At 46.5% G+C, this 26,257-nt stretch overlaps 1 protein-coding gene and 1 pseudogene across 3 annotated transcripts; one reads left to right on the forward strand and one right to left on the reverse strand.

Annotated features, from left to right (window-relative positions):
- Positions 1 to 3,178: 3,178 nt before the first annotated feature.
- On the forward strand, positions 3,179 to 16,737 carry PMS2P9 (PMS1 homolog 2, mismatch repair system component pseudogene 9; annotated as a pseudogene). The gene is made up of 5 exons (NR_028058.1): positions 3,179 to 3,788; positions 5,676 to 5,762; positions 7,294 to 7,477; positions 10,528 to 10,616; positions 15,376 to 16,737. The product of NR_028058.1 is annotated as a PMS1 homolog 2, mismatch repair system component pseudogene 9 (transcript).
- SPDYE18 (speedy/RINGO cell cycle regulator family member E18) lies at positions 14,090 to 26,257 on the reverse strand. Of its 2 annotated transcripts, NM_001394953.1 has the most exons (9): positions 26,195 to 26,257; positions 24,052 to 24,632; positions 22,879 to 23,097; positions 21,336 to 21,566; positions 20,249 to 20,307; positions 18,935 to 19,020; positions 16,659 to 16,902; positions 16,432 to 16,536; positions 14,090 to 15,578 (listed from the first exon to the last, which is right to left on the reverse strand). In NM_001394953.1, exons 2-8 carry the CDS (start codon positions 24,209 to 24,211, stop codon positions 16,477 to 16,479), a joined length of 1,059 nt encoding a protein of 352 aa, NP_001381882.1. In that variant the 5' UTR covers positions 24,212 to 24,632; positions 26,195 to 26,257; the 3' UTR covers positions 14,090 to 15,578; positions 16,432 to 16,476. The 2 variants fall into 2 exon arrangements, with proteins under 2 accessions (NP_001381882.1, NP_001338277.1); NM_001351348.1 differs by lacking the exons at positions 14,090 to 15,578; positions 21,336 to 21,566; positions 26,195 to 26,257 and having other exon boundaries at positions 24,052 to 24,580.

The following is a 26,257-nucleotide window of genomic DNA, read 5'->3' on the forward strand; positions in this document are numbered from 1 at the left end:
CAAACTCCTGGGCTCAAGTGATCCTCCCACCTCGGCCTCCCAAAGCATTGGAATTACAGGTGTGAGCCACCTCACTGAGCCCTCCACCTTTCAGCTGAACGCAGAAAAGTACAATCTTTTAACCCAAAGCGTTCCTCACACTTAGGGTCAGGAAGAGCCCTTCATGCCCTGGAGGCAACTACTAACCCTCTGCTAAACACTCTGACTCTGGGTGTGAGAAACACACCTACTGTGCCCCACATATTTTTCCAAATACAACTTAATTTAGCCTTCACGACAACCCTGGAGTGAAGGATCATTAACTTTATTTCATAGATGTGGAAACTGAGACTCAGAGGCAGGAAATGACCTCCTTCTGGAGGCTGCAAATTCTTTGATGCTCCTTTGATCAACAGGTGGGAGCTGGCCAGAGGTGGTGGCTCACACCTATAATCCCAGCACTTTGGGAGGCCAAGGTGGGAGGATTGACTGAGGCCAGGAGTTTGAAACTAGCCTGGGCAACATAGCAAGACCTCATCTCTACAAAAAATACACAAATTAGCAGGGTGTGGTGGTGCACACCTGTAGTCGCAGCCACTCGGGAGGCTGAAGTGGTAGCATTGCTTGAGCCCAGGAGGTTGAGGCTGGAGTGAGCCATGATCAAGCCACTGCACTCCAGCCGAGGAGATGGAGATAGACCCTGTCTCAAACAACAACAAAAAAATAGGTGAGGATCAGCCAGGCATGGTGGCTCACGCCTGTAATCCTAGAACTTTGGGAGGCCAAGGTGGGAGGATTGCTTGAGGCCAGGACTTCAAGACCAGCCTGGGCAGCCTAGCAAGATCCCATCCCTTAAAAAAAAGTTTTTAGGCTGGGCATGGTCACTCATGCCTGTAATCCTAGCACTTTGGGAGGCCAAGGCAGGCGGGTTGCCTGAGCTGAGGAGTTTGAGACCAGCCTGGGCAACATGGTGAAATCCTGTCTCTACTAAAATACAAAAAATTAGCCAGGTGTGGTGTTGGGCACCTATAATCCCAGGTACTCAGGAGGCTGAGGCAGGAGAATTGCTTGAACCCAGGAGGCAGAGGTTGCAGTGAGCCGAGAGCGCGCCACTCCACTCCAGCCTGGACAACAGAGCGAGACTCCGTCTCAAAAAAAAAATGTTTTTAATTAGCCAGCTGTGATGATGCATGCCCATGTCCCAGCTACTTGGGAGGCTGAAGCAGGAGGATTGCTTGAGCCTGGGAGGTCAAGGCTGCAGTGAGCTATGATTGCGCCCCTGCACTCCAGCCTGGGCAGCGGAGGGAGACCCTGTCTGAAAATAAAAAAAGAGGTGGGGGCCTATGACCCCCCCTTTAATTTTGGCCCAACCTTAGTAACAGGATAGTCATTGAGTAGGGCAAAAGTGATGTTATGATGTTTTTCAGCCTCCAATTTACAGTCTAAAACATGTCTTGGGTAAACACAGCAAGACTCCATCTCAAAAAAAAAAAGAAAAAGAATCAGAAGTGAACCTGTAGCCTGTAGTGTGTTGCCAAATAAACTTATTTTTAGAGATACTTCTTTCCATTTTCTGTGAGGTCATCTGCAGTTTCACATGGTAGACAGACTTAGGTGAGATTCTTAGCAACATAGAATGAAGAGTAAAGAGGTTTGTTTATTTCACAAGGGTTTATTGAAGGCCTACGATGTGTTAAATGCTGTAGGAAATACCCACTGATTTCTCTTTTCATGGAGGTTTCCCGCCTTCTCTTAACGAGTGATCAATTAAACTGTTTACTGGGAACTTGCTAAGTTAATGAACACACGGGATACATTCTTTGGATGAGCAGACATTGGTTGGGCAGAGGGGCAAGAGGAGAGCAGTTTAGACAGAGACCTGCTTATACACTGTAGTGTCTAAAAGAGCTTGTGATGTTCAGGAAACAGTTGTTCACTGTGCTGCAATATAGGGGACGGCCAGTTGCGGTGGCTCACACCTGTAATCCTAGTGCTTTGGAAGGCCAAGGCGGGCAGATCACCTGAGGTCAGGAGTTAGAAACCAGCCTGGCCAACATGGTGAAACCCCATCTCTACTAAAAACACAAAAATTAGCTGAGTGTAATGGTGGATGCCTATAATCCCAGCAACTTGGGAGGCTGAGACAGGAGAATCACTTGAACTTGGGAGGTGGAGGTTGCAGTGAGCCGAGATCATGCCATTGCACTCTAGCCCAGGTGACAGGGTGAGACTCTGTCTCAAATAATAATAATAATAATAATAATAATAATAATAATAATAATAATAATGTAGGGGACTTGATGAAGGGAAAGGATTAGAGAGATTCTGAAAAGAAGGTAGTTTGGGGCCCAGTGATGACTAGATTTTAAGTTTCATATAGTAGGAAGTGGGGCACTAGTAATTTTTCAAGCAGAAAAATTATTTGACCAGATTCGTGATTTCAAAAATAGCTCTGGTGATAGAGTGGAGGATGGGTTGGAGCAGGGAATAAGGGGAAATGAAACCGTTATAAAACTCTTAAAGTGGGCTGGGCATGGTGGCTCACGCCTGTAATCCCAGCACTTTGGGAGGCTGAGGCGGGCGGATCACGAAGTCAGGAGATCGAGACCATCCTGGCTAAAACGGTGAAACCCTGTCTCTACTAAAAATACAAAAAATTAGCTGGGCATGGTGGTGGGCGCCTGTAGTCCCAGCCACTCAGGAGGCTGAGGCAGGAGAATGGTGTGAACCCGGGAGGCAGAGCTTGCAGTGAGCTAAGATTGTGCCACTGCACTCCAGCCTGGGCGACAGGGCGACAGAGCAAGAATCCGTCTCAAAAAAAAAAAAAAAAAAAAAAAAAAAAAAAAAAAACCTCTTAAAACAAGTACAGCAAGAACTTTGAGGGTCTTTGCTAAGACAGCAGCTGGCAGCTTCAATTTGGAGTAGGGTATCAAAGGCAACTGTGTATAAGGAATAGTTATATAACTGGTATCCAATTTCTGAGATGATTTTGACTTAAACATTGTGTATTTCCCAGCATACTGTTGGTTTTTCTAATTATGTGGGAAATTATGTTGCTTTTACTTTTTTTTTTGCTCATTGCCCAGCCTAGGGTGCAATGCTGCAATCTCAGCTCACTGCAACCTCCGCCTCCCAGGTTTAAGTGATTCTTCTGCCTCAGCCTCCCAAGTAGCTGGGATTACAGGCGCCCACCACCATGCCTGGCTAATTTTTTGTATTTTTGGTAGAGACAGGGTTTCACGACGTTGGCCAGGCTGGTCTCAAACTCCTGATCTCAAGTGATCCGCCTGCCTCTGTGTCCCAAATTGCTGGGATTACAGGCATGAGCCACCGCACCGGCCATGCTTTCAGTTTTCAAGAAAGAAGACACCATTATTGCCAAAGATTTTGGTAATTTGAGAGATACAATGTATGTTTTCTCCATGTGGATACTAGATAGTAAGGATGTGTTGAATTTGAAGTGTCTATCCAGAAGTATTTTGGGTACTTGTTTAAGGATTGTAAAACAATGTTTCCATTTCTGGATATAATAAATGTATTTGTTAATATAATAAATGAATAGATTAGACCCATAAACTATTTGCAGTGTTGAGTCATTTCCCACAGTTAAAATCAGGATGAAAATATATAGCTGAATACTTGCTTTGTTTCTTGTAACTGATTTCTTTAGTACAGAACCTGCTAAGGCCATCAAACCTATTGATCGGAAGTCAGTCCATCAGATTTGCTCTGGGCAGGTGGTACTGAGTCTAAGCACTGGATGAAGAAGATAGTAGAAAACAGTCTGGATGCTGGTGCCACTAATGTTGGTAAGTTTGGGAGAGTTTTAAGCCACAAGAAATGATCAGTGAATGTTGTTGTAGTCAAGAAACATTTGTTATTGAAATAAGACTATCAAGTGTTGATGTAGTAATAAGTTATTATTTTTAAGTTAAAGTTAGCACCTATTATGTGCCTAGTACTTAGCTAGGTAGTAATAATAATAACGACAGCTTTTCTTGTGTTCTTATGGTGTGCCAGGCAGGTGTTATGCTAAGAATTGCACAGAAATATTTAATTTGCAGAATAGCTGGGCGTGGTGTCTGACGCCTGTAATCCTAGCCCTTTGAGAGGCTGAGGTGGGGGGATTGCTTGAAGCCAAGAGTTCAAGACCAACCTGGCCAACATGGGGAGACCTCGTCTCTATTAAAAAATAAAGCAGGCCGGGTGTGGTGGCTCACGCCTGTAATCCCAGCACTTTGGGAGGCCAAGGCGGGTGGATACCTGAGGTCAGGAATTCGAGACCAGCCTGTCCAAAATGGTGAAACTCTGTCTCTACTAAAAATACAAAAATTAGCCAGACCTGGTGGCAGAAGCCTGTAATCCCAGCTACTGGGGAGGCTCAGGAATGAGAATTGTTTAAATTTGGGAGGTGGAGGTTGCAGTGAACCGAGATTGTGCCACTGCACGCCAGCCTGGGGACAGAGCAAGACTCTGTCTCAAAAAAATAAAATAAAATAAAATAAAATAAATCCTGGAGTAGTGGCTCACATCTGTAATCCCAGCACTTTGGGAGGCTGAGGGGGGCTGATGCTTTGAGGTCAGGAGTTCAAGACCAGCCTAACCAATGTGGTAAAACCCTGTCTCTACTAAAAATACAAAAATTAGCCAGATGTGATGGTGCATGGTTGTAATCTCAGCTCCTCAGAAGGCTGAGGGAGGAGAATTGCTTAAACCTGGGAGGTGGAGGTTGCAGTGAGCCAAGATCGATTGTGCCACTGCATTCCAGCCTGGGTGACAAGAGCAAAAGTCCATCTCAAAAAATTAAAAAAAAAAAAAAAAAAAGGAAAGAAAAAAAAGAAAATGACAAAATTAAAAAAAAATTATTAATCTGCCAAATAACTTTATGAGATAGAACTTATTACCTCCATTTTACAGTTGAGGAAATTAAGGGACAGTAAATTTCCTTTTTTTGAGATTATAAAGCTAATAAAATAGAATCTAGGAAGTCTGATTCCAGAACCAGTTCTGTTTTTTTTTCTTTTTTTTTTTTTTTTGAGATAGAGTTTTGCTCTTGTTGCCGAGGCTGCGGTGCAATGGCACGATCTCAACTCACTGCAACCTCCACCTCCCAGGTTCAAGCGATTCTCCTGCCTCAGCCTCACAAGTAGCTGGGATTACAGGCATGCACCACCACGCCTGGCTAATTTTGTATTTTTAGTAGAGATAGAGTTTCTCTACGTTGGTCAGGCTGGTCTCGAACTACTGACCTCAGGTGATCCGCTCGCTTTGGTCTCCCAAAGTGCTGGGATTACAGGCATGAACCACTGCGCCCGGCCCCCGTTCTCCTTACTGGGTATGTTAAAATTATTTCTTTCAAAGGAAAAGGCTGGTCAAAGTGCAACGGTCTTTACAACTAATTGATCACAACCAGTTACAGATTTTTTTGTTCCTTCTCCACTCCAACTGCTTCACTTGACTAGTGTAAGGAAAAAAAAAAAAAAAGAGGAAAGAAAGAAAATGCTAAACTATTTAATCTGGGCTAGTAAATGGCCAGAAAGAACTTTATAAAAATGAAATATACAAAATGACACTAGTATGTTTAACTAAAGGTATAGTTACGACACTTAAATTTGCACGTTATAAATAATATCAATATAAAAACTGATAGCGTGGGTCCATTTTTAATAAATATATAAATATTTTAAACTTTCTAGATCTAAAGCTTAAGGACTATGGAATGGATCTCATTGAAGTTTCAGGCAATGGATGTGGGGTAGAAGAAGAAAACTTCGAAGGCTTAAGTAAGTTAACTTTCTAATCCTATTATAAAATAATTGGGCCACATGTCTTAGAATTTTGAGTAACACTGTCTTGGGAAACACAAAAACAGTTTTTTAAAGCCAGTTACTAGATATCATGTATATTTGTTGTTATAGCACTTGAGATATCTTAGTCCTTACTTTACAGTCTCTTTCAGCTCTGAAACATCACACATCTAAGATTCAAGAGTTTGCCGACCTAACTCGGGTTGAAACTTTTGGCTTTCGGGGGAAAGCTCTGAGCTCACTTTGTGCACTGAGGTGATAAAATATTTTTATCCATTCACTTGACCCCTTAGAAAAACCTCTCTGAAAATTAATTGGAATCATTATTATTTACAATTTTCTATCTCAATATCTCAGCTTCTAGCTTCTGAATTCTGTTTTGTCTCACAGCCAATCTAAGTCCTAGTACTTCTGAAATGTGAGCAATAAATGAATGAAATGAAGCAAATAGTATTGTTTAAAAAATTGGTTACCCTTATTAAAACAGTAACTTCTCAATTTGAACATAACATATAGATAATAAATGATAGTTACCATTGGTTTTCATTATCAATTTTTAGGGAAACATTTCACCAAAGCACTATTTAATTATAGCACAGATACTAAATTTTTATAAATAATTACATGCACACACACATATATACATATATATACATATATATACATATATATACATATATGTATACATATATATACATATATGTATACATATATATACATATATACATATATACATATATATACATATATACATATATATATACACACACACATATATATATATATATATATATTTTTTTTTTTTTAGACAGAGTCGCACTCTGTCACCCAGGCTGGAGTGCAGTGGCACAGTCTCAGCTCACTGCAGTCTCTGCCTCCCAGGTTCAAGTGACTTTCGTGACTCAGCCTCCTGAAGAGCTGGGACTATAGCGTGCACCACCACTCCTGGCTAATTTTTGTATTTTTAGTAGAGATGGGGTTTTGCCATGTTGCCCAGGCTGGTCTGGAACTCCAGGCCTCAAGTGATCTGCCCTCCTTGGCCTCCCAAAGTGCTGGAATTACAGGCACGAGCCACCGCACCCTGCCCTACATATACATTTTAATTATAATATCTTTTGGATTCTTTAAAAAAATTTTTAAAAATTTTAAAAAATTCTTTAAAAAAATTCTTTTAAAAAATTTTGTTTGAAGAGTAATAACAAAACAAATCTCTATTTGAGAATCAATAAATCTTGAGATCATTTATGGTTTTGCAATTCAACCTGAAAAATGAAGTCAGAGCTTTTATCAAAACAAAGCATGTTTAGTGCTCTCTGTCTCACTGTCTTTTAGATGCCAGACCTTAGATTTTGTGATGACTCCTCAACCGTTTAGATCTCGGTTATCTCAGAGGGATCATCAGCTTTTTAAGAAAATTTTGAGAGAAAAGCAAGTGAAGAAAAGAGTAGTCAGTGCCCAACATCACGGATCTCTCACTGAACACACCATGCCTGGTATTCTCTCACAGTGATGTCACCATTTCTACCTGCCACGTATCGGCGAAGGTTGGGACTCGACTGGTGTTTGATCACGATGGGAAAATCATCCAGAAAACCCCCTACCCCCACCCCAGAGGGACCACAGTCAGCGTGAAGCAGTTATTTTCTACGCTACCTGTGCGCCATAAGGAATTTCAAAGGAATATTAAGAAGGTACAGTAAATTAATCCTGGTTTTCAAGAGTATTGGTTAATGCACACGAGCAAAAGATTTACTAAAGATGTTTATTCTTCAGTTGATTCTCTTCCCATAATTTATTGAGAAATGCTTTATTTGCATTTCTCATTAAAGACTTAACTTCAGGATGATTTACTTTTTTCTTTTTATCACATAATGTTTATTAGGACTGGGAAACATAGTGAGACTCTGTCTCTATGAAAAATTAAAAAAAAAATTGACTGGGCATGGTGGCATGCACCTGTAGTTCCAGCTACTTGGGAGGCTGAAGTGGGAGGATCACCTGAGCCCAGGAACTTGAGACTGCAGTGAGCTATGATTGCGTCACCACACTTCAGACTGTGAGACAGAGTAAGACCCTGTCTGGAAAAATATATATACATATATATACATTTTTTTTATTTTTTATTTTTATCTTTTTTTGAGATGGAGTCTCACTTTGGCGCCCTGGCTGCAGTGCAGTGGCGCGATCTCAGTTCACTGCAACCTCCACCTGCCAAGTTCAAGCGATTCTCCTGCTTCAGCCTTCTGAGTAGCTACCATTACAGGCGCGCGCCACCACGCCCGGCTAATTTTTGTATTTTCAGTGGAGACGGGGTTCCACCATGTTGTCCAGGCTGGCCAGGCTGGTCTCGAATTCCTGCCCTCAGGTGATCCGCCCACCTCGGCCTCTCAAAGTGCTGGGATTACAGGCGTGAGCCACCATGCCTGACCTTATGTACTTATATTTTTATGAGAATATTTCTCTTGGTTTTCTGATAAATGAGTTACTGGCACCCTTATGAATTTGAATGCAAATGAAACAGCTAAATGTTATATAATTGTCGTGTTTAAAAAGCAGATTATAAAACTGTCTGTATTATATGATTACAGTTTTATAAAAACAAAACAGGCCTAAATGTGTATAGTATAAAGACTGAAGAGTCAGCACTTCCATGTTCTCAGCGGTTATCCTTGGATGTGAGATCTCATGCACTTTTTGCTCTCTTCTTTGTGCCTTTCCATTTTGCATGCGTATTTCTTATAATCTAAAAAGTTACTTAAACATATGCAGCTAAAAACTTTTTTTACTTGTAAAGCGTTTGGTGCTAATTTTAACTTTTTTTTTTAGACGGAGTCTTCTCACTCTGTCGCCCAGGCTGGAGTGCAGTGGTGTGATCTTGGCTCACTGCAACCTCCGCCTCCTGGGTTCAAGTGATTCTCCTACCTCAGCCTCCCAAGTAGCTGGGATTATAGGTGTGTGTCACCACACCCAGCTAATTTTTGTATTTTTAGTAGAGATGGGGTTTCACCATGTTGGCCAGGCTGGTCTTGCACCCCTGACCTCAAGTGATCTGCCCACCTCAGCCTCCCAAAGTGCTGGGGTTACAGGCGTGAGCCACCACGCCTGGCTTTTTTTTTTAAAGCTTTTTTGTAAGTCAGCCAGCAAGAACACAGGAGGAAGTACTCAAATCTCCCTTACACAGCTGGGGGCTATGTCAGGTTTTATAAGCATAGGGTAATGAGGTGTGATTTGATTGGATCTTGCAATAAAGTAATGCTGGGAGGTGTGATCTGACTGGATCCTGCCATGGGGTGACACCAAAACTCAATCTGATTGGATCCTGGCTCCTGCCTGGGGGTGTCTGGTTCTTAAATCGGTCCGAGCTCTTCAGGCTGAGCTCTTAGGTTCCACTCCACGGTGGCACGCGTGGTTAACCTGGGCATGCACAGGGTACATGACCTTCAACCTGCAGGTCGATGGCAATTGGAAAACAACTGACAACTTCATTACATAAAAGTTGAACTGATTCGGGTGCGGTGACTCACGCCTGTAATCCCAGCACTTTGGGAGGCCAAGGCAGGTGGATCACCTGAGGTCGAGGAGTTCAAGACCAGCCTGGCCAAAATGGTGAAACCCCGTCTCTACTAAAAATATAAATATTAGCCAGGCGTGGTGGCGCACCCTTGTAATCCCAGCTACCCCAGAGGCTGAGGCAGCAGAATGCTTGAACCTAGGACGTGGAGGTTGCAGTGAGCTGAGATCGTGCCATTGCACTCCAGCCTGGGTGACAAGAGTGAAACTCCATCAAAAAAAAAAAAAGTTGAACTAGATTTGGTCTGATGCAGTTACAGATTTACAAACCGCGTCCCACCCTCCTGCCAACACCTTCCACTCCTCATTCTTGAGGGATTAGGGATGGAGGTCATGCTTCTGTATCGACTTCATGCTGACCAGGGGCACTTAGTCCCCTAAAGTGAGAGGAATGAAACTCTTGGGCTTCTGAGTTCAGATGAGTTCTGGGGTCACCCGGAGTAGCTTGAAAGGCTGGTATTGTTGTAATACAAGCTGAAGGTGGAAGTGTTGGATCCTGGAGGACAAACAGCTCACCATCCATTTAAATAAATAGGACCAAAAAGTAACGGAACAGTGGCCACGAGGGGCCCCAACAGAGGAAGAAACCAGGTGAGGTGTGGTATAGTGGACTCGACTGCCTTCTAAATCTCAGTGGTTGTCCGGGTGCGGTGGCTCACACCTGTAATTCCAGCAAAAGAAGAGCCGAGGCAGGGTGATCACGAGGTCAGGAGTTCAAGACCAGCCGGGCAAACATGGTGAAACCCCGTCTCTACTGAAAATACAAAAATTAGCCAGGTGTGGTGGCGTGTGCTGTAGTCCCAGCTACTAGGGAGGCTGAGGCAGGAGAATTGCTTGAACCTGGGAGGCGGAGGTTGCAGTGAGCCGAGATTGTGCCACTGCACTCCAGCCTAGGTAACAGAGCAGGACCCCATCTCAGTCAATCAATCAATCTCAGTGGTTGAACTACCCTTGATATGGTTCAGCTCTGTATCCCCAACCAAATCTCATGTCAAATTGCAATTCCCAGTGTTGAGGGAGGGACCTGGTGGGAGATGATTGGCTCATGGCGGCTGACGTCCCCCTTGCTGGTCTCGTGATAGTGAGTGAGCGCTCATGGGATCTGGTTGTTTAGAAGCATGCAGCACCTCCTGCTTCACTCTCTCTGTCTCTCCTGCTCCACCATGGCCAGAAACGTGCCTGCTTCCCCTTCGCCTTCTGCCGTGATTGTCAGCTTCTTGAGGGCTCCCCAGCCATGCTTCCTGTACAGCCTGCAAAACTGTGAGTCAATTAAACCTCTTTTCTTCATAAATTCCCCAGTTTCCAGTAGTTCTTTATAGCAGTGTGAAAACAGACTAATGGACCCTTCTGGTTGAAGGAATGTAGCCATTCTGCTTGTTTAAGTATTTCCTTTCTATTCATCTCTATTTCCCGGGAGGTGTTTATCCAAGTGCAATAGGAGATATTGGTGACTGCAGAGTCCCCTCAGTGTTCTGCTAGTAAATAGTTGAAGGTTGATCAGTGATCTCCAGCATTTTCAGTCTGGCATGGAAAAGCCCCCATGTAACTGGTAAAGGTATCAGTAAGCACCAGGAGGTATCTAAATCCACCAGGAGCCATAGGCATCATGTTGATGTCCATTTACCAGTCTTCCCTGGCAAGATTCTCTGAATTGTACTGCCTTGGCCAAAAGAGGTATGGGAGGGGCTGGGCACAGTGGCTCACGCCTGTAATCCCAGCATTTTGGGAGACCAATTCGGGTAGATCATTAGAGGTCAGGGGTTCAAGACCATCCTGGCCAACATGGTGACATTCCATCTCTACTAAAAATACAAAAAGTCAGCGGGGTTTGGTGTTGGGTGCCTGTAATCCCAGCTACTCGGGAGGCTGAGGCAGGATAATCACTTGAACCTGGGAGGAGGAGGTGGCAGTGAGCTGAGATCTCGCCATTGCACTCCAGCCTGGGCAACAAGAGCGAAACTTCATCTCAAAAAATAAAAAAAGAAGTCTGGGTGTGGTGGCTCGTGCCTGTAATCCCAGGACTTTGGGAGGCCAAGATGGGTGGATCACGAGGTCAGGAGTTCAAGACCAGCCTGGCCTAGATGGTGAAACCCTGTCTCGAGTAAAAATACAAATATTAGCTGGGCATGGTGGCACACACCTGTAATCTCAGCTACTCAGAAGTCTGAGACAGAAGAATTGCCAAAACCCGGGAGGGAGAGGTTGCAGTGAGCCGAGATCGCGCCACTGCACTCTAGCCTGGGCGACAGAGCAAGACTCCGTCTCGAAAGAAAGAAAGAGAAAGGAAATTCCCCAGGGAAGTACCTCGGCTTATTTCATGAAGAGGTACTGAAGGAAGCAGAGGCATGTGGAGGACTTCCCCACCTCGTGCAGCTATTTGGGCCGTGGCGTCTGAAATTTCTTATTTCAGAGTCACCCCTTTGATGACCTTGGCAGTGGACTGCAGTCATCTGTTTAGGCCTCTCCATGGCCCGTGTCAATGCCGATATTTCTGTCTGTTGCACATTTGATTTCCTTGTTGTTGGCATTTAGAAGGCCCCCTGTTTCCCAGATCACACCACGGGCATGGACCGCAGAGATTGCATCTTGTGAGTCTGTAGAAACAGTCAAGGCCTTGTCCTCTCTTAGGTCCAGAGCTCAGGTGAATACAGATTTTCCCAGCTGTCTGTGCTGAAGTCCCTGTGGGGAGGCTCCTGGCTGGTTTCCTGTAGGTAGACAGCTACACGTCCTGCCCTTCATTGGCTTCTTTTCATGAAGCTCCTGCCATCTACAAAACATGTCTCCCTTCTTGAATCACATCTCTGTTATTGAAACTCTAGAAGTCGACCGGGCATGGTGGCTATGCCTATAATCCCAGCATTTTGGGATGCCAAAGCGGGTGGATCACCTGAGGTCAGGAGTTCAAGACCAGCCTGGCCAACATGGCGAAATCCCGTCTCTAATACAAATACAAAAATTAGCCAAGCATGGTGGCCACTGTACTCCAGCCTGGGCGACAGAGCAAGACTCCGTCTCAAAAAAAAAAAAAAAAAAAAAAAAAAAGAGAAAGAAAGTATCATGCTTTTCTGCATTCTGTGAATTGTTTTAGTGAGTTATCGAACTTCAGGGCATGGTGGGAACCTCCAAATTTGCAGCCAGTTGGTGAGAAGTACATGTGGTCTGAGGACACCCAAGCCTGCAGGTGTGTCTAAAGCGAGGGCAGCCTAGTGGGGGCTGGTGGCCTTAACCTGTGGCATTTGAGGTAACATCAGGGAGTTGACATCAGAATTGCATCACATAGGCTGGGCGCAGTGGCTCACGCCTGTAATCCTAGCACTTTGGGAGGCCAAGGCGGAGAGATCACGAGGTCAGGAGATCGAGACCATCCTGGCTAACACAGTGAAACCCCGTCTCTACTAAAAATACAAAAAATTAGCCAGGCATGGTGGCGGGCGCCTGTAGTCCCAGCTACTCGGGAGGCTGAGGCAGGAGAATGGCGTGAACCCAGGAGGCGGAGCTTGCATTGAGCCAAGATCACGCCACCGCACTCCAGCCTGGGTGACAGAGCGAGACTCCATCCCCCCCCCAAAAAAAAAAAAGACAAAAAACAGAATTGTGTCACACAGGCCAGATGCAGTGGCTCATGCTTATAATCCCAGCAATTTGAAAGGCAAGGTAAGAGGATCGCTTGAGCTTGAGCTTGAGCCTGAGGCCGCAGTGAGCTATGACCACACCACTGCACCCCAGTCTGGGTGACAGCGCAAGACCCCAATTCCAAAAAGAAAAAAGAAAAATCACAAAGAATTTCATGGCAGAGTGCCTGTCTTTCACAGCTTTAACTGCTGCAGGAACTTTCTTTTTTTTTTTTTTTTTTTTTTTGAGAGGGCGTGAGGAGACACAATCTCTGCTAGTGATTCTCCTGCCTCAGCCTCCCAAATAGCTGGGATTATAGGCATGCACCACCACGTCTGCCTAATTTTTGTATTTTTAGTAGAGACAGGGTTTCACCATGTTGGCCAGGCTGGTCTCAAACTCCTGCTGGGATCATGGGCGTGAGCCACCACGCCCGGCCACCTTTAGAGTTTTCTTACCACCTGGTTTTCCTCTCTCAATATCTTTCTCTCATTTCCTGCCTTAAAACTCTAGCTTGGCATCTGGGCGCAGTAGCTCATGCCTGTTAATCCCAGCACTTTGGGAGGCCGAGGTGGGTGGATCACTTGAAGTCAGGAGTTCGAGACCAGCCTGGCCAACATGGTGAAACCTTGTCTCTACTATTTTTACAAAAGTTGGTCGGACGTACAGACGGGTGCCTGTAGTCCCAGCTGCTTGGGAGACTGAGGCAGGAGAATTTGTTTGAACCCAGAGGTGAAAGTTGCAGGGAGCCGAGGTTGTGCCACTGCACTCCAGCCTGGGAGACAGAGCAAGACTGTCTCCAAAACAAACAAACAAAAAAACCCTGTAGCTTGAGCCTTCTCTTCTATTGTTTTTCTTTAAAAAATAAAAATTAAAAATAGATGTAGATGCTATGTTGCTGAGGCCGGCCTCAAACTCCTGGCCTCAGGTGATCCTCCTGCCAAGACCTCCAAAACTGCAGGGATTGTAGGTGTGAGCACTGCACCCAGCCGTATGTTTTTTTTCTACATAAAAAACAGCACAGGATTATCTTCCAGAGCTAATAAATATGTTCAAATAACCACAACCCCATTAAGGAAAAATATCACTGGGCAGCAAATAATCAATCCAGACCAATATGATCACAGTTGCTGTGAAGGTGAGAAAAGTTCATTTTTATTATGTTTCCACAAGAGACGCACTCTATTGTTCTCTTGAAAACACACAGCTCATGTCCTCCTTTAGAACACACATCCTCTTTAAAGTAACATACAAAGATGCCAAAACAAGGTAAAAAATTACATCTGAATTCTCACATTTCAAACATATATGAAATATCAAATAAAAATTTATTTTTACAAGAATTTAGGGGAACTACTACATAGCTATAAATGTAATATATATGTTAACTAAGTATCACAGATAAAAACCATGCTCCCTTCAGCAGCACGTGTAATAATAGATACAAAGATTGAAAGGTAAAAGATTTAGGATGAAAAGAATCCTCTCTTAAAAAGGAAAACAAAATTATATGTATGTGTATATAATAGTTATAACACCCATCACACAGCTTTATAGAAACAGCATCTATTCAAAAATACCAGTATTTCCAAAATATTTAAAATAATATTTAAAGTAATAATAATATTTAAATAAATAAATATATTTAATAAATATTTCAATAAATAAAATAATACTTAAATAATTCTATACCCATGTTTTTCAAAATAAACCAATAAATTAGATAGTATGTATTAGACGTGTTAGTATATATATCTGAGACATGTTAAAAATCACAACTGAATTCTCACAATTCAGTCACAAACCTAAACAGCAAATAAAAATTTCTATCACCAGAATTATGTTTTTTTCTGGTGGGGAACTACCAATAGCTATAAATAGAAGAGATTTTTATGGAAGTATCATAGATAAAAAGAGTGCTCGCTTCAGGAGCACATATAATAATACAGAAACAAATTTAAAGATAATAAAATATTTAGGATAAAAAGAATTGTCTCTTAAAAATGAAAAGAAAATTATCTTTATGTATATATAACAACTATAACTCTCATCAAAAAACTACAGGAACAGCATGTTTTCAAAAGTACAACAATTTCCAAACTATTTGAAATAAATCTATGAATAATTCAATGGCCAACATTTCCAAACAAACCAATAAAATGCAGAGTGTGCATGAAGCTATCTGTTACAATCTGTGGCACTGATATTTCACAAAAGAATTCTGTGCCAATCTGAGCCCCTGCATTGTGCCTTCAAATGCTCCTGGACTGTGGCAACCAAGTCTGTAAGAAACAGGACCTCCAGGTTCCGGCCCAGGGAGGTTGGAATTCAGCAATATAGAAAGGGTGGTGGTGCCGCAGGAAAGGGTGGAACTGGAAACACTCCTGTTTTCTTACTTTTCTCCAAGGACTCCTAGAAGGACCCCACCCCCCTCCCCCCACCCCTGCTCCCAGGAGGACAACGTGATCACTGTATTCAGCTCCATCAAGAATGGTCCAGGTTCTTCTAGATGATCTGCACAAATGGTTCCTCTCCTCTTTCCTGTTGTCTGCCATTAGCATTGGAATAAAGTTCCTGCTGAAAATCCACATCTCCCCTGGGTCCGGTGTTCTGGAAGTGAGAGAGACAATGTCACACTTGAAGGAGGCAGCTCTCTAGACAGGAAGGTTATTCACGTCCCATGTCAAGTCTAGAGTTCAGAGCAATTGAGAAATGCAATTTTATCTGCTGCCTTTCATTCTATACCCTGCTTCTGAACCATCGTGTTCAACTGTGAAACTCACACTTTGGTGACCACAACTCCAAAACTCACTTAATACACCCAAGGTCAGCCCCAGTGATCTGCTTCATAGCAAGGACTTTGGGTGGGTCTGCCCAGGGAGTAGGGCACCCTCAGAGAATGTGGCTTTGGACTTCATCATAGCTGGGGCCTTTTGTGTCACTTAAGATCTAAACTTGTAACCATGCTAGATGTGTTTCTAATGTGACAACATCACGAACCACGAGTCCAGAAGCCTAATCCTTAATCCTACCTCCTCATGATGAAGTCTCATGCTCTGTGCTCACCGTGGTTAGCTGCACAAGATGTAAACCAAAGCTTCACTGAACCCTCGACCCAAATCGGTAACTCAAGTGCGTCAATCATAATGAACCTCCCCAAACTCAGTATTTATGATTATTTTTGAGGCAGGGTCTCACTCTGTCGCCCAGACTGGAGTGCAGTGGCAGGATCAGGGCTCCGTGCAGCCCTGACCTTCCAGGCTCCAGCGATCCTCCCGCCTCAGCCTCCTGAGTAGTTGGGAGTAGAGATGCGTCCCACATCGCCTGGCTAATTTTTGTATTTTTGTGGAGAGGGGATCTCGCCACGTTGCCCAGGCTTGAAGCCGGATCAAGCAATTGGGTTCCTCGGATTTCCAAAATAGACCCCAATATTCTGCCTTTACCCCGGAGGATGCAGATGTACCTTCTCTCAGGCCGATGACCTCAGGCCTCCACGGTCCCTGGAGCTCTAGGAAAGGCGAGCGCGATCTCGCGCCCACACCCAGTGCTCTGGGTCATAAGCCTGGATCTGGAAAAACAAACGCCCTTTGAGAAGACGGGGACTCGCCAGGATACCCCTCTCTCCCCTCATCCAGCCTCCAGCCCACCCGATTCCTCCCCACCTCCTCCACCTCCCCAGGCCCCACTCACCTCCTCCAACTCCTCCCGGGAAACCCAAGCCCTGCCGCTCATGGAACAGAAGAACTGGAACCGAAGTTTCTGGAACAGGGCTATCTGAGAGCGGTTCTTCCTGGCCCTCGGGTTCAAGCAACGGCATAACTGGAACCGACGGTTACGGACCAAGGGTATGCGAGAGCGGGTCTTCCCATACAGGAAGTAGAAGATGTTTTGTTTGGGGTCCTCGTCGTCCTCCTCCATGTCATTGGCCAGGTAGCTGAGGACAGAAATCAGGTTGGTGCTCAGGGGCACCACCAGGAGAGGCCTCCGGCTGAGGTCAGCTTCCCAGAGAGGAAGGTAAGGGACTGTCCCTAGCTCAGGACTGGCACCCACCCTGCAGAGAGCCACGCCTTCCTCAGGAGGGCTCTGCTGGACAGAGACCTGATCAAGGGCGTCTCCCACTCCTTCAGGATGGAGACAAAAGCCCAACTGGTGGCCGAGAGTGGTGGCTTATGCCTGGAATCCCAGCACACTGGGAGGCCAAAGCAGGAGGATCACTTGAGGCCAGGAGTTTGAGACGGGCCTGGGCAACATAGCAAGACCCTCGTCTCTATTAAAAATATAAGAAATATGCCAGACGCGGTGGCTCATGCCTGTAATCCCAGCACTTTAGAATGCTGAAGCAGGTGGATCGCTTGAGACCAGGAGTTGGAGACCAGCCTGGTCAACACGGAGAAACCCCATCTCTACTAAAAATACAAAAATCAGCCTGGTGCGGTGGCACACCCGTTAGGCCTAGCTACTCAGGAGGCTGAAGCATAAGAATTGTGTGAACCCAGGAGGCGGAGGTTGCAGTGAGTCGAGATTGGGCCACTCCATTCCAGCCTGAGAGGCAGAGCAAGACTCTATCTCAATAATCAAACAAACAAACAAACTGTCCAGGTGTGGTGGCACAGCCCTGTAGTCGGAGCTAATAAAGAAGCTGAGGTGGGAGGATCGCTTGAGCCCAGGATATGGAGGCTGCAGTGAGCTATGATCTCACCACTGCACTCCAGCTTGGGGGACAGGGCAAGTCTGTCTCAAAAAAATAAAAGAAATTGAATACATTGATATTTTGCCAGGACCCTGCCTTCTACAGGCATCTAGTCTAATGGGACTGGCAGTAACCAAGGCAGATGAGCTAATCCCAGTGTCCAGGATGTAACTAGAGAGCTACGGGCATGCAGAAGTTGGAAGATGAGGGAAGGCATCACAGAGGCTGTGGGGTGAACTGACTTCAAGGAATGGGTCCTTCCCTTCAGAGCCACATGTGTGCGGGACACCCAGACAGAAAACACAAACACAAAGTCGAGTGGAGGGCATTTGGAAGAAGCAGTGAAGCCGAGCCAGGAAATACCAAGATGGCGAGCCAGTGTGCTTGTAGAGATTGTAGAATTGACACTGTGGACCCTGGCCTCGATAGAGAAAGGCATCAGCTAAGGAAGTTGTTCAGGTGGGCAGTGAGGTTGTCGTGCTTTGGAAAGATGTTCAGGCTGCACTAGGAAGCCCCCTGGCTTGGGGAGAGACTCCAGGAGACCCCAGCAGGGAGCATTTGACAGTGGATTCGAGTGATGCGAGGGGGACCTGAACTGTGGCCTCTGTCATGGGAACCCAGAGGAGGTCGATGGCGTTTGTGGTTGATGTGGGAAGGAGAGAGAGAGAGAAGAACCAGAAACGTCTGCTTGCTGGAGGAAGCGGCATGTCCGCTCCTCCACTCCTTTTCTTTTCCCCTTAGGAGCGGTTTATGGTTCCTTTTGTTTTATTCTTTTATTTGTACACTGGCATTGGAGTTTGTTTTTTTGGCTTTTTTTTTTTTTTTTGAGAAAAAGTCTCACTCTGTCACCCAGGCTGGAGTGCAGTGGCTCGACCTTAACTTACTGCAACCTCCACCTCCTGGGTTCAAAGGGTTCTCTTGCCTCAGCCTCCCAAGTAGCTGGGATTACAGATGCACACCACCACGCCCAGCTAATTTTTCTATTTTTAGTAGAGACGGGGTTTGGCCATGTTGGCCAGGCTGGTCTCGAACTGCTGACCTCAGGTGATCTGCCTGCCTCGGCCTCCCAAAGTGCTGGGATTACAGGCGTATGCCACTGTGCCCAGCCTGAGTTTCTGTTTAGAAACAACAGTCTATGATAGTATAATCCTCTCTTTTTTGTACACAGAGTAAAGAGGACAAATAGGTGAAAGAATAAATGAAAGGCTGGAATCCCACTTCCCCCGCTGTCCCAGGGCATTGGATATTGACGGATAGGAGGAAGCAAACCACTCACAGAGCCAGGAAGAAATGAATGCGTTGGTATTGCCAGGAGGGGAGGCCGGCCCGGCTGAAATACGCTATGACCATAGCCAGGAGATACTGATGGAGAGAAAGGAACACAGAGAGGGAGAGGTCACATCTTGGAAGAGGAAGATTGTGGAGAGGGGGAATGAGGGTCTGGGGAGGGGCTGCCCATCAGAGAAGGGACCTCAGTGTTGGGGTGACTGTACTCATTTGGAAATTGCGGGATGGAGGGGTATTCGAAGGTCGGATGCAAATCTGAGAAGCCAGAGGAAGGGTTTTGGGTGATGCTCCCAGGATGGTGGGCTCCGATGGGATCTTTGGAGGGGGTGTGTCTAGGTCGGCTGGTGTCAGGAGGGTCTTTTGTGTGCCAGGCAGAGAACTGTCCCAAGGAGCTGAGAGTAGAGGGGCCAGGAGCTTCAGGGCTGCAGCCAGACTGTGGCCCAGGGCTCAGATCCCAAAGGACCCATAGGAGAGGCAGGGGCCACTCATTCACTCTGCAAGAGACCAGCAGAATCCTGAGGGAGATGCTGACAAATCATAAAAAGACCAAGAATAGCCGGGAGTGGTGGCTCAAGCCTGTGATCCCAGTACTTTTTGAGAGGTGGAGACAGGAGGATCATGTGAGCCCAACAGTTCAAGAACAACCTGGGCAACATAGTGAGACCCTGTTTCTACAAACATTTCAAAAATTAGTTGAGCATGGTGGCATGTGCCTAGTCCCAGCTCCTCAGGAGGCTGAGGAAAGAAGATTGCTTGAGCCCAGGAATTAGAGGCTGCAATGAGCTATGATCATGCCACTGCACTCCATCCTGGGGAGCAGAGCTAGACTCTGTCTCACAAAAAAAAAATGTGTGGGTGCCAAGACTCAAGACCGTGGGAGCTGGTCGGGCACAGTGGCTGACGTCTATAATCTCAGCACTTTGGGAGGCCAAGGCGGGTGGATCGCCTGAGGTCAGGTGTTCAGGACCAACCTGGCCAACATGGCAAAACCCCGTTTCTACTAAAAACACAAAAATTAGCCAGGCGTGGTGGTTCATGTCTGTAATCCCAGCTGCTTGGAGGCTGAGGCAGGAGAATCGCTTGAACCCGGGAGGCATCGGCTGCAGTGAGTCAAGATCGAGACACTGCCCTCCAGCCTGGGCAACAGAGCAAGACTCTGTCTCACAAAAAAAAAAAAAAAAAAAAAAAAGACTGTAGGAGCATCTGGTGGGAGGTGGTGGAGGGAGAACTGTGGGTTTGGAAGCTGCGCCCTCCCCCCAGCCATGCGTTGGAACAGGAACAGTTACATGGAGAACAACCTTACCTTGTCCGACACCCTCAGATCTTTGTCCCAGGCCAGGAATCTTTTAATGACAGGATCCTCTGTGATTAGAGAGCAGATGTCAGTGTGAGAAGCAGGACAGGGTTTCCGTGGGAGCAGCAGGGCAGCGAGGAGAAGTGTGCCTCCCGGGGGGAAGTCTCAGGATTGTGGCTGCGGGTGAGGTGGATGGGAGAGGGGAGAATGACTTTCACTGGGCAAGGGAGAGAGGCTCCTGCTCTGAGACTCCCCTGAGAAGAGGCCGAAGGAGGCCCTGGGTGTGAGAATCTACAGGATGTAGAGCTGGGAATCAGCCAGGACCCCCTCCAGCAGACACGGAGGGACCACTGCAGAGTCATAAAGGAATTCCCATCATTTCCTCATGAGACAGTCACATCAGGGTGTGACCATGGCCTTGGGATCCCCCACTATGGATGGAGACACTTAGGTTTAGAAAAGTCAGTAAGAGACTTTAAGTTTCAGAGGGCACAGCTGAAACCACTTTCTTTGTTTATTGATTTTGTTTTTCTTGATTTTTATTTTTATTTATTTATTAATTTATTTTGAGACAGAGTCTTGCTCTGTGGGCCAGGCTGGAATGCAGTGGCCTGATCTTGGCTCGCTGCAACCTCTGCCTCCTGGGTTTAAGCGATTCTCCTGTCTCAGCCTCCCGAGTAGCTGGGATTACATGCATGAGCTACTGTGCCCAGCCTTGGTTTTTCTTTTGAGACAGGGTTTTGCTCTGTCACCCAGGCTGGAGTGCAGTGGTGTAGTCATAGCTCACTGCAGCCTCAAAGTCCTGAGTTCAAGCAATCCTCTTGCCTCAGCCTCCCAACGTGCTGGGATCTCAGGCGGGAGCCACTGCATCTGGCCCAAAACCAAGCTTTCTTATCCCAAGCGCTGACCTTTATCAAGTTGACCTAATCCTTTATCATCTCCTAAGTGTCCCTCATGAGTGATCACTTCACATTCCTCCCACATGGAGAGCTCACCCACTGGGGCATATTTTTCCCATTGGAAAAGTGTGGTTATTGGAAGTTTCCTGTTTTTGGAAAGAACAGGATTGGAGGTGCTCTCTGGGGTGTCCTCCTACCAAGCAGCCTGTTGAAGGCCTCGTGGTGCTCAGGGAGCACGAGCGACACTCGCCGTCGCTTCAGCTTCATCTTGAGGCCACACAGCATCTCCGCCACCCAGATCTCCTCAGGCTCAGGGGCGAGCACCTTCCGTGGCTCCTCCTCCAACGACTCCTCAGATTCGTCCCACCACTCCCTCTTCCTTTTCCAGCAAAAGGACCTATGCGGGGGGCTGGGATCTACCCCAGGGGCTGAGTAAAGAAACCAGGCCACGGTGTAATGCTTCTGCAGTTGATCACACTAGAGCCCGACCCAAAACCCCAAACCACTCTCCATCCTCCTCAGCCTCGCAGACTGCTGGCTTCTCCAAGCCATCTTTCCTTCTGTCTGTCTCCTCTGCTGAGCTCCATGTGCCGCTCCTTCTCCTCCCCATTCTCCCGTTTCTCTGTCCTCAGAACACTTCCTCATATCCTTCCCTGGTCCCTGGCTCTCTGAGTCTCTTTTTTTTTTTTTTTTTTTTTGTTGTTGTTGTTGAGAAACAGTCTTGCTTTGTGGCCTAGGCTGGAGTGTAGTGGTGCGATCTTGGCTCACTGGAACCTCCGCCTCCTGGGTTCCAGTGATTCTCCTGCCTAAGCCTCCCAAGTAGCTGGGATTACAGGTGCCCACCAGAACACCCAGCTCATTTTTGTGCTTCTAGAAGAGACAGGGTTTCACCATGTTGGCCAGGCTGGTCTCCAACTCCTGGCCTCAAGTGATCTGCCTGCCTGGCCTCCCAAAGTGCTGGGATTACAGGTGTGAGCCACTGCACCCTGCCTCAGTACCTCCATTCTTCCCACACACCCTCCTCACGTGCTCCTTCCTGACTTCTGGGCCCTTCCTTCCTTCTTTTTTTTTTTTTTTTTTTTTTTGAGACAGCGTCTCACTCTCTCACCCAGAATGGAATGCAGTGGCGCTATCTTGGCTCAAAGCAACCTCTTCCACCTGGGTTCAAGCGATTATCCTGTCTCAGCCTCCCGAGTAGCTGGGATAACAGGCATGCCTGGCTAATTTTTGTATTGTTAGTATAAATGAGGTTTCGCTATATTGGTCTGGTTGGTCTCGAACAACTGACCTCAAGTGATCCACCCATCTCAGCCTCCCAAAGTAATGGGATTACAGGCATGAGCTACCACACCCGGCCTTCGTTTTTCTTTTGACACAGGGTTTTGCTCTGTCACCCAGGCTGGAGTGCAGTGGTGCAGTCATAGCTCACTGCAGCCTCAAAGTCCTGAGTTCAAGCAATCCTCTTGCCTCAGCCTCCCAGCGTGCTAGGATCTCAGGCGTGAGCCACTGCACCTAGCCCGAAACCAAGCTTTCTCATCCCAAGCGCCAACCTTTATCAAGTCTAGCCTAGTCCTCTATCATCTCCTAAGTGTCCCTCATGAGTGATCACTTCTGAGTCCTCCTGCGTGGAGAGCTCACCCACTGGGGGCGTATCTTTCCCATTGTAAAAGTGTGGTTATTGGAAGTTTCCTCTTTTTAGAAAGAACAGGATTGGAGGTGCTCTCTGGGGTGTCCTCCTACCAAGCTGACTGTTGAAGTCCTTGTGGTGCTCAGGGAGGATGGGTGACACTCGCTGTTGCTTCAGCTTCATCTTGAGCCCACACAGCATCTCCACTACCCAGGTCTCCTCAGGCTCAGGGGCGAGCTCCTTCTCCGGCTCCTCCTCAGATTCATCTGACCACTCCTTCTTCCTTTTCCAGCCAAGGGACCTACATGGGGGGCTGGGATCTACCCCAGGGGCTGAGTAAAGAAACCAGGCCACTGTGTAATGCTTCTGCATCTGATCACCTTAGACCCCGACCCAAAACCCCAAACCACTCTCCATCCTCCCCAGACTCGCAGACTGCTGGCTTCTCTAAGCCATCTTTCTGATTTTCTCCTCTGCTCAACCCCATGTGCCGCTCCTTCCCCTCCCCATTCTTCTCTCTCTCTGTCCTCCGAACACTGCTTCATGTCCTTCCCTGGTCTCTGGCTCTCTGAGTCCCTCCTTTTTTGTTTTGTTTTGTTTTGACACAGAATCTTGGTTTGTCACCCAGGCTGGAGTGTAGTGGTGCAATCTCAGCTCACTGCCACATCCATCTCCTGGATTCCATTTATTCTTCTGCCTCAGCCTCTCAGGTAGCTGGGATTACAGGTGCCTGCCATAATGCCCAGCTCAATTTTGTACTTTTAGTAGAGACAGGGTTTCACCATGTTGGCCAGGCTGGTCTCAAACTCCTGGCCTCAAGTGATCTGCCTGTCTTGGCCTCCCAAAGTTCTGGGATTACAGGTGTGAGCCACTGCACCCAGCCTGAATTTCTCCATTCTTCCCACACACCCTCCTCAGGTTCTCCTTCCTGACCGCTGACCCTTCTTTTCTTTTTTCTTTTCTTTTTTTTTTTTTTTGGAGTGCAGTAGCGTGATCTCAGCTCACTGCAACCTCTTCCTCCCAGTCTCAAGTGATTCTCCTGTCTCAGCCTCCTGAGTAGCTGGGATTACAGGTGTGCACCACTACCACTTGACTACTTTTTATACTTTTAGTAGAGATGGGGTTTCACCATATTGGCCAGGCTGGCCTTGAACTCCTGACCTCAGGTGATTCGCCCGCCTCGGCCTCCCAAAGTGCTGGGGTTACAGGCGTGAGCCACCGCACCCGGCCCCCTTCCTTCGTCTTAGTCAACCCTATCCCACCTCTTCTTCCACCAGTCCCCTCACCTGATGGTCCCAACACTTCATCATCCACCACCTCCTGGAGGGGGTACCCCGAGGTGCTCCGCTGGAGACTCTGCTCATTCTGGGGGTGCGGTTGACGGCTGGTCGTGATCTTTCCCGTAATCTGTCCCCTCTTACGGAACCTAGTCTTCGTTCTGTCCATGGCCTTCTTCTGGACACTGCTAGGATCCAGAAGAGTATGTTATCAATTCTCAAGCCTAGGAGAAGTCAGGAGTGGAGAACAGCTCTGAGAAGATACTGTTGTCCAACTGATCTCCAGGCACCACGGAGTCCGGTCCCTCCAATCAGGAAGGTCGGAATCTCTGATGTCATCGTTCATGCCAACCTGGCAACCAGTTTGAAAAAAAACACATGTAACTGCCAGGCTGATCTCTTGTCCTGGAGATCCTGGGTGAATGGTATCTCCTGCCACTGTCCCAACCTCAGACCATTGTCCAAAAGCATCTTCAGGGACTCCACATCCCTGTGTTCCCTGTCCCAGCAGAGGCTGTGTCCTCTCCACTCAAAGCCTGAAGCATGTTGGGGTCTCTTCATCTCTGTACATGCCCATTTCAGAGTCCAGTCTGGTGGGAGAGGGAACAGAGTGGGAAAGAAAACTAGGGTAAGCAGAAATGATGAAACCTTATAAGAGTGAGATTATCATGTACAAGAGTGAGATTATCACGTACAAGAGTGAGATTATCACGTACAAGAGTGAGATTATCATGTACAAGAGATCCCAGGAATACTGACTTGATGAAAAAGTCACATCAGAGCACTCAGTTTGGCAGAGCTTTTCTGCCGAATGTTTACTCACATTCACTGTCCGAGATTCTATACTGGGGGTACACACGTCCTCTGCCCTAAGGCAATTTTGAGTCCAAGAGACATTTTGAGGCCTAAAGATCATAGGAAACTGCCCCTGAGCTCACACATATTTCCAATGGTGTCCCCAATTTCAGGGAATCCATGGATTACCTAAGCCAGCCCCTCCAGTTTGGCTAAGAAACTCTAGTCTATATATCAAGTTTTGTATCATATGTATTGCTCTGAACTCAGAAATTTCCCTTCCATTTATGGATTCTATGAATAAAATATCACATGTACAAAAAGACTAAGTCGAAAAATTTCAGCTGTGCACAGTGGCTCCTGCTTGTAATCCCAGCACTTTGGGTGGCCAAGGGAGGAAGATTGCCTGAGGCCAGCAGTTCAAGACCAGTATAGGCAACATAGCAAGAGCCCATCTCTAAAAAAACCAAACCAAACCAAATTAGCCAGGTGTGGTGGCTGGCACCTGTGTTCCAACTACTTGGGAGACTCATGTGACAGGAAGATCACTTGAGCCCAGGAGTTAGAAGCTGCAGTGAGCCATGATCTTGCCACTGCACTCCAGTCTGGGCAACACAGCAAGATATTGTGTCAAAAAATTTTTTTTTGATAAAAAATAAAAGAGTTACATGACATTCAGAGACCATCCAAAAAACCTGTGGGTTCCCGGCTGGGCTCAGTGGCTCATGCCTGTAATCCCAGCACTTTGGGAGGCCACAGTGGGTGGATCACTTGAGGTCAGGAGTTTGAGACCAGCCTGGACAACATGGTGAAACCCCATCTCTACTAAAAATACAAAAAATTAGCCAGGCATGGTGGTGGATGCCTGTAATCGCAGCTACTCAGGAGAGGGCGCTGGAGAATCACTTGAACTCATGGTGCGCAGGTTGCAGGGAGCCAAGATCGCACCATTGTGCTCCAGCCTGGGCAACAAGAGCAAAACTCCATCTCAAAAAAAATAACCTGCGAGTGAGTTCCCACACGTTTTCCTAATGGGCTGCTGCTTTCCTAGGAGTCTCTCGCTCATAGAAAAGGCACACACTGAAAGAGGAAGCAGATCCCATTGCTGTGGAAGTCCCATTGTTAGGAAGCTCTGCTTTTCTGGAGTTCAAATTCGCATTCATGACGCTTTAAACCGTCAGAGCTGGGTGGGTCCTCCTACAACAAAATCGTTTGCTCTCTCTCTCCTAGTTAACAGGCTTTCAAATATTAGAAGATCAATGTTCTGACCCCATTAAAATTTCTCTTTTGTGGAATGAAAAGCTCTGATTTAACCCATCTTCAAGCCTGGTTTGATGGAGGAATAGGGGCTGGTCACCTGCATTTCCCCTCCCTGCACAAAGTCCTGGGCCCAGATCTGGGGTCTGTCTCTGCTGAGGGT

Source organism: Homo sapiens, chromosome 7 (genome assembly GCF_000001405.40).
Source record: "Homo sapiens chromosome 7, GRCh38.p14 Primary Assembly".
Classification (NCBI taxonomy): domain Eukaryota; kingdom Metazoa; phylum Chordata; class Mammalia; order Primates; family Hominidae; genus Homo; species Homo sapiens.

Coding starts and splice junctions, on each gene's coding strand:
- SPDYE18 (NM_001394953.1), bottom strand. CDS start 24,211: ATGGACAGAACGAAGACTAGGTTCCGTAAGAGGGGACAGATTACGGGA. Junction 23,098..24,051: donor TGAAGTGTTGGGACCATCAG/GTGAGGGGACTG, acceptor TTCTTTACTCAG/CCCCTGGGGTAGATCCCAGC. Junction 16,537..16,658: donor CCCGGGAGGAGTTGGAGGAG/GTGAGTGGGGCC, acceptor TTGTTTTTCCAG/ATCCAGGCTTATGACCCAGA.